The sequence below is a fragment of the Homo sapiens genome, chromosome 2 (assembly GCF_000001405.40).
Source record: "Homo sapiens chromosome 2, GRCh38.p14 Primary Assembly".
In the NCBI taxonomy this organism is placed as follows: Eukaryota; Metazoa; Chordata; class Mammalia; order Primates; family Hominidae; genus Homo; species Homo sapiens.
The window spans coordinates 213,691,586-213,705,794 of NC_000002.12; the positions used below are offsets into that span (position 1 = coordinate 213,691,586).

Here is a 14,209-nt window from a genome sequence, read left to right on the forward strand (position 1 = left end):
TAATAATAAATTGTTTGAAGCCACTAAGCTTTGAAGTGGTTTATAGGCAAGGATAGCTAGAAACTCTGTTTGCCCTGCACTTCAATTTTTAATCTCTTGCTCTTTGTCTTTTTCCCTCAGCATTTGTTATCATTTAACATACTATATGATTTGTGATTTATTATGTTTATTATTTATTTTTTGTCTTGTTGTCCCCACCAGATTGAAAGCTCTAAAAGGTGGCAATCATTGTTTGTTGTGCTCTCTGATATATCTCAGTTGTCTAGAACAGCATGGCTAATACATAGTGGAATTTCAATAAATATTTGTAAAAGTAATGAAGAAGGCGGTAGTCTATCCTAAAAAGTTAAACAAGACTCATTCAAAAGATGATCACAAATTTACTCAAATGTGGTTCATTCCCAAAGCCAAAATGATAAATTAAGATGTCAACAAATATCTATGGAACACAAGCTAAATTACAGACTTGTAATTATTAATAGCAAACTGGAGAGTAATTATTAGAAAAAAATGAAATTTGAAATTACTTTCAAATATTACACCATTATAAGCCTCTGGGTAGTGATTTTAGATTAATATAAAATTTGATGAAACCAATCATAATGAAAAAGATACCTAATTATTGTCACTCAAAAATAATAATTTAAACAAAATTTAAGGGCATATAACCACAATGTTCAATACTTGGATTTGTTACAGTACCTTTTTTAAGTGATTACAGGGTTAACATAATTTGAGTTGTGCATATTTATTTACATTAATTTCACTTCACTTAATGGAATCTGCTGGAGATTGACTTGTGTTTGTACTAAAAATACATAAAATATATTAAGAAAAAGCAGAGAGAGAGCCACTGATTTATTGTGTTTGGTGTCCAAGAACAGCTCAAACTGCTTTCTGTGAAAGAGTTATGCCTTACTGTTTCCTTAAAAATGTTTTGTCTGCCGGGCATGGTGGCTCATGCTTGTAAATCCCAGCACTTTGGGAGGCTGAGGTGGGCAGATCACAAGGTCAGCAGATAGAGACAATCCTGTCTAACACGGTGAAACCCCGACTCTACTAAAAATACAAAAAATTAGCCCGCCATGGTGGCGGGTGCCTGTAGTCCCAGCTATTTGGGAGGATGAGGCAGGAGAATGCCGTGAACCCGGGAGGCGGAGCTTGCAGTGAGCCGAGGTCACGCCACTGCACTCCACCCTGGGTGAAAGTGCGAGACTCGGTCTCGAAAAAAAAAAAAAAAGAAAAAAAAAGTTTTATCTTGAAAACTATATGTCAGTTCTTAGTTGAGTTAGTAATATGAGGAATGGCTACAAGTTTTTAAGGAAAAAATACATTTTAAGAATGTTCACTGAAAACCCTTTTAAAACAACAGGTTCTGAATTTTAAAAATATTCAGATAGATTTCTTTTTGAACATATAACTGGAATCTTTATTACAAAAGAATCATCAATGTTTGACTTCTAATTCATATGCCAACATGCATTTCTAAGCAAACTATAACCAAGAAAAATGCCAAGCACACTCTGTAAGCTTAGAATGCATGTGAATTTCATATTAATTCTTTTTGACTCCTCCTGAACTTGAGCATCTTACAGGTCTGATTGGGCAATTTATCAGTTCTCATGCTCAATGAATTCAGTCGTAGGGCACATGCAACTTAAAGCAATGAGGCCTAACTGCCAGGGTGCTTAGAACCATCAGTAGGGATGAATAGCACAGAGTCAGCATACAAATAGAACATGAACATAGAGCAAAGGCGAACATTTAGCCTGACTTTGGAGCAAAACCAGAGTTAAGACCAAGCCCTACCTCAGCACACTGACGCTTCAGTTTTACATGTTTGCTTCGTAGACAGAACTACTTCACATTTATTTACCTTCCATTATACAATCTGCACATTAAAAACAAAAGAAAACAAAACAATAATGGCCATTAAACAAAAATACATGATGTAGCTTGCTAAATAATTTATGGGCTTTTTGGAAGTGTTTTGGGCAGATTTCAACCTAACATTACTCTTATTTCCTATTCTTTTCCTTATAGAATGGAGTATCATGATAACTAGGTACTAAGTCAAGTCAACAGTGGGCCAAGTTGCCTCTGTGGAATTTAAGCTTTACATGAAGAGAGACTTAAGTATATTTAGTCCTTGGTGGTAGAACTCTTTAGTGTGAAGTCAAGTAGTTGCTTTTGTAGCTTTGATTCAAAGAAGCCAAAATCAAATGCTATGGGGCCTGGAACATGGTGAAAGTGGACTATCTGGCACTGAAACTTGGAAACCCTATCTAAAGGAAGCAGTCACTACTTAGCTCTACCAATAGTTGCCATGCTAGATTGTGAGACCAGGGATGCCAGGTATTTTGTTTCTGCAAGAGAAGCCAGAAATATGGATTTATCATGTCAACTCTCCTAATAAATACTGAAATGTACTTCATTCTTTGGTGCTTTATGCAAGACAAAAAAAAAAAAGAAAAAAGAGAGGGAGAGAAAGAAGAAGCGAAGAAAAGACATGGACTCTCATGTAGATTGAACTTGGTCCACAGTTTACTAGCTTGAGATCTGTAAGAATAAACTAAGGAGGTAAGAGAAGGAGGAGGGCATATTACTTAGGTGAGAAGTAATTGTAAAATGTATTATAAGCATTTATTAGCACAGTAAAATTTATGGACAAAATAGAAACTTCAAACTACATTAAGCCTTCTGTAATCGAGCTGTATCACCTGCTTCTCATTGATATCCTTTTTCTTACTACTTCCTCCCTTATTCAGAGAAGTGTTGGCTAATTGTTCACAATTTTACTATGCACTCACTTTCCATTCTACTCTATTAATTAACACTATCATTCATTTATTTAATGAATAAATATTTTTCAAGTTCCATATGCGTTGCTTTCTAGTATACGTGGAAATGTGGTATAGCCAAAAAGTCACAATGATCACGTGGATGCTATTCCTAACGCCTTGGCCTCTCAATATGTTGACTTCCCTGAATTCCAAAAGGCATCATCATTTTGCTTCAGCTCAACATTCCTAAGGTCATAATCTGGACATTGCTGTTACCAGGAAGTGTTCCATGTCTAAATTCATGAATTCAGATTTTTAACTCATTGACCCACCCTTCCTTCCTTCCTTCCTTCCTGCTTGCATTCCTCTCTTCTTGCCTTCCTTTCTTTATCCTTCTCTTTTCCTTCTTTCCTTCCTTCCTTCCTTCTACTCTCCCTTGCCTCTCCTGTTCTGAATTCTGTAAGTATTATTGCACTCCATCTATTTTTTGCTCTCATTAAATTCTTTGAATCTTGTAATTTCTCTTATATCAACATCTTCTACCTCCCAGTAGTATGGGGTCCTGTTTTATTCAAGCTAATCTTCATGCTCTTTCATATTAGTGAATCTCATGACAAAATCTGTACTCTTTGGATCTTGATTTTTTATAGACTTGACATGTAAAATTCTACCTTTTTGTTAATCCACTTCCCTCCACTACTGGAGGTTGATACCACTGTGAGTTTAGGTTCATCAAATTTGATTAGACCTCAAAATTCTCTAGATTTCTAGATCTTTTACATATCTTTTAACCATATCTTTTTCTTACTCTTCACAGTGGCTATTTTAAACCTTTCTCATTCTACTCAAGCTCCGACTGCAACTTTTTCTTACTTAACACATGACCATCAGGGCAACTGTTCTTAAATTTCTTCACTTACCTCATCTACCAACTTAACTAACAAGGTATCATGGTTTTAAAAAGTGCTATGTTCAGGATAATTCCTTCAACTATGCTTATTATACTATCCGCTAAACTGTCCTTATTTTTCATTCATTCATTTTATAAATCATATATTAATCACCTAGTTTGTGACAGGTACTGTTCTGGGCTCTTTGGCCACACCAATGAGTAACACATATTAGGATCCTGTTCTCAGAAAGACGTTCCACTGAAAGGAGGTAATCAGCTGTTAGAAAAATATTAGTTTCAGCTAGTAATAAGAACTGAAAAAATACTAAGACAAGGTGATAGATATATCAGATAGTGAGTACCTGGGTGTGAAGACACTTCCCTGAGGAAGAGACATTTGGTCAGAGAATGACAAGAAGGAGCCAGCCATGAGAAGACGTAGAGGAGAAGCATGTGAATTCACAGGAAAGAATAAGCACATGCATCCTAACTTGGGAAAGGACTTGGTGTGTTTCATCAATGCACATGCAGTTGAACAATCATGGGTAATAGTGGGAGATGAGATTAGAAGGTCAATCAGGAGCTTAATGTAGGTTATGCAGGAAGCCTTTTGTGGTTGTTAAGCATGGGATTGATGTCATCCAATTTAGATTTTTAACAAAAACCCATACCATGCTGAATGTTGATGGAGTTACGTAAGGGTAGAAGAAGAGATATTATTTAGTAGGTAATTCAAGTAATGTAGGTGAGAGATAATGGTGGCTTGATTTTAGGGTGATACTAGGGAAAGAGAATGGTTGACAGATTAAGAGTATATCTAGAGGGTAAAGCCAAAAGATTTGCTGATCTATGGATATGGAAGTTAAGAGAAAGAAAGGAACAAGAATAACTCCTAGTGTTTTTTGTTTGTTTGTTTGTTTCTTTGCTTGACTAATTTTGTTATGTCATTCATTAAATTGAGAATGAAAGAACAATATTTTTGAGATCAAAATAAAGTTGCAATCCTGAGTTAAGTTTTATGCATGCTAAATTTAGATGCTTTATTAGGCATGCAAGTTAAGATGTCTAATTGACAATTGGATATGTGAGTTTGGAGTTCAGAAGAGAGGTCAGCACTGGCCATCAATATTCAGTACCCGATGTCTTGTGGGTGGTAAAGCCATGGGACTAAGTGAGATAATCTAGGGAGAAATCAGAAAGAGAAAAAAATTCAGGGCACATCCCTGGCTCACTCTAATACTTAAATAATAATTAGAGAAAGAGGAACCAACAAAAGAGACTGAGAAATACCTAGCAAGATAGGTGAAAAGACAAGGAAGAGTGATACATGCTATAGAAGCTAAGAAAAGAAAGTACTTAAAGAGGATGCAAATGTACATACTTGCCAGAGCTAAAAAAGAAAAAGATGCAAATGACCAACTGTTTAGCTGAGAAACTAGTAATGTTAAAACTGTGAAATAGCTGTTGAAGTTGGTCTGGAGGGGTGTCATTTGTTATAAGAACTATTTCAACTGAATTGGAGTCATTTGAGGAGAGAATGGGAGGTAAACAACAGGAGACAGAGACAACAGACAACTCTTCTTGTAAGTTTTATCATGAAAGGAGACCAAGAAGAGAAATAGTAGCTGGAAGAGAATGTGGGCTAAAGCAGGGTTTTATAAAGTGGGAAGATTCTAGAATATGTATGCTGCTAGGATTGATTCAATAGAAACAAATTGATGATGTAGGAGGAAGAGGATACTTGCAGGAACCAAGTTCATTAGAAAGTGAGTCGCAGATGGAGCTAGAGCACAAATTGAGGGATAGAACTTTGACGTGAGCAGGGACACTTCATTTATTGTAAAAGAAAGAAAGGGGATGGGTAGAAGTTTAGGTAGGTAGGTAAATTTTGTGATGAAAACAAGGAAGCCCTAGATTGAATCTATTTAACAAGGTCATCATTTGAAAGGGAAGAGTGGGTGGAAAAGAGGTAGGGCTGGAGGCCACTACACAAAGGGAGAAGGTATGAATACTCATTTTACATAGTGTCAGAGTAAATATGCAGTGCAGTGGAGTTGCAGAGTATTAGAGAATGCCATTTTGTCACTCATGGTCATGTATTTAGAGTGAGACAAAATAGAATTGCTGTGCATCTTGAAGCCTGCACAATGTGATAGGCTGAATAATGGTCCCCAAAGATATTCAGATTCCAATCTCTGGAATCTATGAATGTTACCTTATATGACAAAAGAGACTTTGCAGATGTGAAAAAATTGAAGATTTTGAGTACATGAGATTACCCTATATTTATCAGATCTGTTCTAAATGTAGTCACAACTGTCCTTATAAGAGGAACACCATGATTTTAGCCCAGTCTGACTCATTTTGTACTTTTGACCTACATAACTGTAAGATAATAAATTTCTGTTGCTTTATGCCACTAAGTTTGTGGTACTGTGTTGCAGCAGCAATAGGAAATTAATACAGTCCACTACTTCATTCCTTTCCTTTGTATCTTTATCCTCTCTCTTCTTTCAGGCCATTTCCTGTTAGCAGGTAAACATGCTTAAGAGTTTCCTTTTAAAAAACAACATTAATAAACAAAAAACCACAGAATTTCCTACCTCTACCTGCTCAGCTCTAGCTACCATCCCTTTTTATATAGTCCTTTTAACAACTAAGGCTTGTTATTTTTATTATTTCCTTCTCATCTCTCATCTACTCAAATCTTCTGCCAACTCTCGTCAACTTCTTTTTTCCTTAGTAAACTGCTTTCAATATTTGGCAAGGTGCTCTTATTCTTAATTCCAGTATATTATTTTTACTTCTACCCTTTTCAACCTCTTTGTTAATCAGTTGATTTCCCCATTCTGGTGATATTCTCTCCCCTTGGGTTCTATGATACCACATTTTTAAAAAATTACATATTTGCTCTCTGACCGTTCTTCTTTATTCTCCTTTATGGGCTACATTTTTCTCATGGCTTTTTCTTGGTGCAATTTTTTAAATTTATTATTATTATGATGATTATTATTATTTTGAGACAGGGTCTCCCTCTATTGCCCAGGCTGGAGTGTAGTGGCACAATCATGGTTCACTGCAACCCTAACCTCCCGGGCTCAAGTAATCCTCACACCTCAGCCTCCTGAGTAGCTGGGACTATAGGTGCATGCTACCACACTTGGCTAATTTTGTTATTTTTTGTACAGATGAGGTCTCACCATGTTGCCCAGGATGGTATCAAACTCCTGGGTTCAAGCAATCCGCCTTCCTCAGCCTCCCAAAACTCTGAGATCATAGGCGTGAGCCATTGTGCCTTGCTTTATTAGTGTTGTTAACAGGGCTCTACTTTTTTCTCATTCTACATATTCTTTTACAGTTATCTTAGCTATTTCCCAAAACTTTCTATTTGACACTCTTAGTACTCACCTGGACAAATATACTCTGTTCTGTACACCTTATTGTCATGCTAAGGTGTCCTGAGTTGGAAAGACAGGCTCTCTTGTCCTGCTCCATGGCACACTCATGTCCGACTGCAGTGATTAACTGTATTGGATTTGGTGTCACTGAACTGATTTTGAATTCTGACCTTGCTTTTTTCCTACCTGAAATAGCAAGTGATTTACCACCTGAATGTGTAAAACAGTATAAACCCACTAAACTGTATTAATTAAATGAGATAATGCACATCAAGTACAACGCATAGTACCTGGCATATAGGGGGTTAATAAATGTGGGCAAATATTAGTATCGCTAGCTTCTTCTTTTCCTCTCTAAGTTCTGTTTCTGCTGGTAATTCTACCATGGAACTTCTCTTTTCCATTGCTGTTGTTGTAGTAGTTTCTAATGTCTCCTACAACGTTTGATGTTCACAGCCCACCATTGCCACCCCCACTCCTCTTTTTATTTTTCTGCTTCACCTTTCCTATTACTCTTGTATTATTTTTATTTTTCCCCCATTTTCCCCATTATTCCCACATTCTTTATTTTTTCTGTTTTCCTTACGTTGTTCTCCTTCTCCTCCACCTTTTATTTTTTCTGAATTTGCACATCTCAACAAATAGTCCAGACCACTCTTTGCAGACTTCTTCATTGCCAGGATCTGCTTCTTAGTTTTCATAGTTACTGTTTACTTTTTCATTATGATTTATAGTAAAGATGGGAAGAAAATGACTAGTGGCAGGCCTGCAGGCCTTTCTTAACTAAAGACAGCCCTAGAAAAGAAATTTAAAGAAAATTTCTCAAAACATGTTAGTGACAGACCACCTGGCAAATACTAATAATATGGGCTAATGGGAGAGTCCTTATCTATGGACTGCTGCAGCAGGATGTCTAGTATGCTTATGGAAAACAAATCTAGAACCTACGGATTTATGTGTCATGGCCCCTGGAAATGTATATACCCTATGTAACTATCCTAATATAAAATTTAAATGTTTCATACCAAAATAGCTTCCTTTTGTGTAAGTTATGTGACTATGCACATTCCATAGCAGCTTTGTTTGTTAAATCTGGGCCACTGTGTCCTGATGTGATAAGAAAGGCCTGGGAATTTGTCATTGTCTTTCTGGATCTTTCCCTGCTTTGTCTGTGCTGTTTGATTACATTTGTCCTTGAAGTCATCAGTAAAGCTTGATACTAAGTAAGGTTTATAATTTGTGTGAGTCTGATAGGACAGCTTGAATCCTTCCTTGTGTTTTCTCATTGGATATGGTGGCATTCCAGATGATTACAGTTGTTAGGAAATTTCTCTCTGGATATCTGAAGCAATAGTAGGCTATGATTCCAACATATCTATCTGTCATGATTACAGTTCTCTTTGTGGTAATATATTATCATATGTAATTCAGTAAAGAAATGTGTATACATGCATGTAATACATCAATGTCTATATCTCTGGGTCCATACAATGCCATAAGAGCAAATGTCAATCTAAGCATTGATTTGATGTTATAGAGCCTCTAGAATTTTTGACTGCTAAAAAAAAAAAACAAATAATTTGTTAATTTGGTTTCTATTTAAGAAACCATTTCCATAGAAATAGATGCAGTTCTTTTACTGAATTACATATGAATCAAATTCACAAATAAAGTTAGCTCACTTTAAAATCATCTAATCTCCTTTTAAAATGTATGACATAAATTATTTAGGTGTTATTTATAAGAGGTGGAAATATAACACATCATATTTATATCCTTTTTTTGCTGTAATGATGAATATTACAATTTCTTGAGTGTGCTATTTTCCAGACAAATGTGTATTCCATTGTATTGTCATTAGAACCATAACATTTTCTAGAATGTTACTTACATCTTAATGAAGGGATAATCATGCTATGAAGCTTTTATATTTTCAACATTACATTTATTTCTCAGTAATTCTCTCACTTTGCAGAAATGATTTTCATTCTTTTACATTTTTAATGTGTGATGTACCTAATGGAAAATAAAGATAATGCTAAATGAAAATGAGTGTTATTCATTGATAAGAATTCAATTAATCTATACAAAGGTCCCTTTCATTACCTCTTTTACAGATTTTTAAAAATTCTCTATTTCTTTTATAAGGTTTCCTTAGATATTCTCTATCATTGTTTTTCTTTGTGCATTTAAAAAAGATGATCTAGGCCAGGCGTGGTGGCTCACACATATAATCCCAGCACTTTGGGAGGCTGAGGTTGGCAGATAACTTGAGGTTCAGGAGTTCAAGATCAGCCTGGTGGCCAGGCACGGTGGCTCATGCCTGTAATCCCAGCACTTTGGGAGGCTGAGGCAGGCGGATCACTAGGTCAGGAGTTCCAGACCAGCCTGGCCAACATGGTGAAACCCCATCTCTACTAAAAATACAAAAATTAGCTAGGCATGGTGGCACCTGCCTGTACTCCCAGCTACTCAGGAGGCTGAGGCAGGAGAATCGCTTGAACCCAAGAGGCAGAGGCTGCAGTGAGCCAGGATTGTGCTACAGCACTCCAACCTAGGCGACAGAGAGAGATTCCATCTAAAAAAATAAATAAATAAATAAATAAATAAGATGATCTTATAGGAAGGGGATACTACAGTCTGTAAGGACGTAGGAGTCTCAAAAATCATTTGAGTTCAAAAGAAATAGCATTTAATAACAATTACAATGTAATAACAATGATAACGAGAGGTGCCAACGTGCTAGCAGCCCTCACTCACTCTTGGCGCCTCCTCGGTCTCGGTGTCCACTCTGGCCACGCTTGAGGAGTCCTTCAGCCCGCTGCTGCACTGTGGGAGCCCCTCTCTGGGCTGGCCAAGGCCAGAGCCAGCTCCCTCTGCTTGTGGGGAGGTGTGGAGGGCGCTGCTCTGTGGCGCCTGGTCCCATCGACCTTCCAAGGGCTGAGGAGTGCAGGTGCGTGGCGCGGGACTGGTAGGCAGCTCCACCCGCAGCCCTGGCGCAGGATCCACTAGGCGAAGCTAGCTGGGCTCCTGAGTCGGGTAGGGACTTGGAGAACTTTTATGTCTAGCCGGAGGATTGTATATGCACCAATCAGCACTCTATGTCTAGCTCAGGGATTGTAAACGCACCAATCAGCACTCTGTGTCTAGCTCAAGGTTTGTAAACGTGACAATCAGCACTCTGTGTCTAGCTCAGGGATTGTAAACACACCAAGCAGCACTCTGTGTCTAGCTCAAGGTTTGTAAATGCACCAATCAGTGCTCTGTGTCTAGCTAATCTAGTGGGGACTTGGAGAACTTTTGTGTCTAGCTAAAGGATTATAAATGCACCAATCAGCACTTTGTGTCTAGCTGAAGGTTTGTAAACTCACTAATCAATGCTCTGTGTCTAGCTAATCTAGTGGGGACTTGGAGAACTTTTATGTCTAGCTAGAGGATTGTAAATGCACCAATCAGCGCTCTGTGTCTAGCTTAGGGATCGTAAACACTCCAATCAGCTCTCTGTAAAACGGACCAATCAGCTGTCTGTAAAGTGGACCAATCAGCTCTCAGTAAAATGGACCAATCAGCTCTCTGTAAAATGGACCAATCAGCAGGATGTGGGTGGGGCCAGATAAGGGAATAAAAGCAGGCTGCCCGAGCCAGCTGCGGCAACCCGCTTGGGTCTCTTTTCATGCTGTGGAAGGTTTGTTCTTTCACTTTTTGCAATAAATCTTGCTGCTGCTGTTTGGGTCCATGCAGCATTTATGAGCTGTAACACTCACCGCGAAGGTCTGCACCTTCACTTCTGAGGCCAGTGAGACCACGAACTCACCAAAAGGAACAAACAACTCCAGCCACACCATCTTTAAGAACTGTAACGCCGCGAGGGTCCACAGCTTCATTCTTGAAGTTGGCGAGACCAAGAACCCACCAGTTCCGGACACAATAATATTTCATCTTTGTATAGTCTTTTTAATTTTTCAAAATTATTTCATCATATGATACTTCCAATATACAACTATCCGTAATCTATGACACATAGAAGCTGAGACCTCAAAATGTTCCAGTACAGTGAATTACAAGGGAGTGTAATTTGACACATTAAAATCTCAAAATGTATTTTATTTTGACTGTTCTTTGAAAAGGCCTATTTCTAGAGTTGATATATATCAAGAAGATTTAAGATTGGCATGGAAAACAACAAGCTGCTAATGGGAAGGGAAGCCTAACAATAGTACTAGCACTCAGACCCAAGGAGGTGGGCTTCTCTTTGGGTTTTGCCGTGACTGTGTTAGTGTTCATCCACGCGCTCTACCCTTCTATGTGGGAGGATTATACCTGCCCACAATGTGAAACTCAGGTGTGCTCATGTGATATGGTCCATGAAATGTCCATAGAAGTGGAGGGTGTCACTTCCTGGAAGACGTTTTAATGGTCAGTACACACTTTGCCATTCTCTTTTTCCCTCTCCTGTGATAATAGACATAGTGGGTTCCAAAAGATGACATGACAGAGCTGCAGCCAACCAATAACGGACATGGAGGAAGAGTGAGATCTAAACCTGAGTGTTATAGGTCTCTGATATTTGGGAATCATTTGTTAGTGAAGCACAACCTAGACTGTCTTGACTGATACAGGTTTGCTCAAAGATTATTAGGAACTTGGCTGTCCTGTTCTCCAGCATTGTCCTTTCCTTTTTCATGTTCTCACCTAAATGTGGTCACAAAATACTCTTGTTGATTCTCCAGCGCAGAGAGAGCACCAACGTTTTAAAGACTTTACTAAAATTATGTCTCAGAAAACTGTGAAACAAACCCAGGGCCTAGTATAATTCACTGTATTTTTGCAGATTCCTCAATTCCATATGGAACCCCAAGATAAAAACATCTTGATGGAAGTCTAGTCTTTCATGCTCCTGGCTAGGAATCAAACGGCTCTTACCATATGTGGCAGACACCACAGAGATGCACCAATCAGCTCCCCTTTCAAGAAAAGACTCATTGTCCATCTGTGAGGGCCATCTGTGAACTTCGCAAGTCCATCTCAGCTTGAGCGGAGGTCATGCTCTCCTCAGAGTAACCTCAGTCAGTGACTAAGCAAGAATGTGGTGCAAGCACCTAGCCATTTCTTTTCAACAGGGGACTTCTGTAAAAGGTGATCTTTGCTCTGAGGCTGTCTGCTGGGCTGGCAGATACGTTGTCAGATCTGCATTGCAGTCTGGCAGATCCTCCTACCCAATCCTGCATTCCCCTTGTTTCTTCACAGATATTACCTTCCAAGATATTTTGTACTCCTAAATTCAGCTCAGCGTCTGTTTCTGTGAGTGGGAAAAGAAACTTACATAAGATCTACCTACTTATTGAGAGTGTTCTCCTAGATATAAAGTCAAAGATGAGAGTGCCCCATCCCCTTGTTCTTCTGGCTGTTCTCAGTACCTGTTCCCTGTCTGTGTTTATTCACTGGGCAGCCTTATCATCAGAAAGACAATCATGCACTATAATAGAACAATATCTTATAACAGCCATATAACAATATAACATACATCCTTAATTCTGTCAGGATTTTGAAATGAAATGTTCTCCTTGATAATTTTCTCAAGTGTAAAGTGGGAATAATAAAAGTAATTTTCTCACAGAGTTGTGAGAATAATTAATAGCCAAAGTTTATTAAGTGTTCACTTTATGTCAGGCTTTACAGGCACTACAGTATTTCATTTTATTCAATAGGTGAGGCTATTGGGGCAAAGAAAGGATAAGTAACATATAGCTAATGATAGGCTGAGTGGGAACTGGGGTCTACACAGAGTGACATCACAGCCCACTTACACAATTACTCTCTGCTACTCTGTCTCTCAAAGAGATCTGTCAAGACCTTAGCAACGTGCCTGCATGGATTAAGCTTACCATTTGTTGGAGTAGGCACCCCACAAATGTTAACCACTATGATTACTTATTCATTTTCAAAGTTGAACAAATAAAAAAAAAACCCTGAATAATTCAAATACAAAGAAATAAAGGTCCTTTTAAGCTACCTGTTCTCCAGCGTTGTCCCTTCCTTTTTCATGTTCTCACCTAAATGTGGTCATAAAATAAGCCAAGTCAATGAGTTTGGACTTTATCTTTTGGGCATTGAAGAGTTATTGGAGAGTATTAAGAATGGACTGACATTTAGATTCACAGATTAAAAAGGTGACTCTATTTGTAGTGCAGTCAATGAAAGGAACTGATGCATAAAGTGGGGTAAGGGAATGGTAGAATTTGTCCAGACGAAAAGCGAAGTCTGCCTGAACTACGGTAGTGGCAACAGGAATTAGAAAAAAAAAATTAAATAGGCTAGGCGCATGGGCTTGCGCCTGTAATCCCAGCACTTTGGGAGGCGGAGGCAGGCGGATCATGAGGTCAGGAGATCGAGACCATCCTGGCTAACATGGTGAAACCCTGTCCCTACTAAAAAAAAACAAAAAACAAAAATTAGGGGGGTGCCTATAGTCGCAGCTACTAGGGAGGCTGAGGCAGGAGAATCGTGTGAACCTGGGAGGCGGAGCTTGCAGTGAGCCGTGATCGTGCCACTGCGCTCCAGCCTGGGCAACAGAGCAAGACTCTGTCTCAAAAATAAGAAAGAAAGAGAGAGAGAGGGAGGGAGGAAGGGAGGGAGGGAGGAAGGAAGGAAGGAAGGAATCAAGTAGACTAGTTAATTGATTTAAAGTGTCACACTGGTTTGGACACTTCATCTGGATGGGCTTCAGTTGATTTATTTGTGAAAATCTTTTGGATGAGATGGTTGCTAAAGTGGTTTTTTTGTTTGTTTTGTTTTTTCCAATTGGCATCTCTTAAGAGGGAGCTGGAGGTAGAAAGGGTGGGGGAAAGAAGGAAACAGAGTAGGTAGAATTGTAGGAATAAATATAGTGAAAAACTTTTGGAATGACTTTGGTTTGGAAACTTGGTGCATTTATAACATTATTAAGAAAATTTTTTTAGGCAAAAATCTAAATAAAATGCCTTTAACATCCAGCTTTATGTTCCCCTAATTTTCCAATTTACTTCTAAACTCCCTTAAAGCAATACATTTATCTAGTCTTTTGAAAGAGAATTTATAACATCTTGGAGCTCTCAAATAAAAAGAGGAGAGCCAATCATGGTGGAGGGTTTGTTGTT

General features: G+C 38.4%; 1 protein-coding gene across 18 annotated transcripts in view; it reads left to right on the plus strand.

The window, feature by feature from the left end:
- The window catches only part of SPAG16 (sperm associated antigen 16), a 1,126,038-nt gene that overhangs the window by 407,122 nt on the left and 704,707 nt on the right, over positions 1-14,209 (plus strand). Inside the window, exon 11 of one of the 18 annotated variants that reach the window (XM_011511832.3) lies at positions 11,905-13,085. The exons of the other annotated variants lie outside the window; for them this stretch is intronic. Within the exon in view, the coding sequence (XP_011510134.1) occupies position 11,905 (1 nt within the window). The 3' untranslated portion in view covers positions 11,906-13,085. Of the gene's footprint in view, positions 1-11,904; positions 13,086-14,209 lie in introns of those variants that run through there. 18 annotated transcript variants of the gene reach the window in all.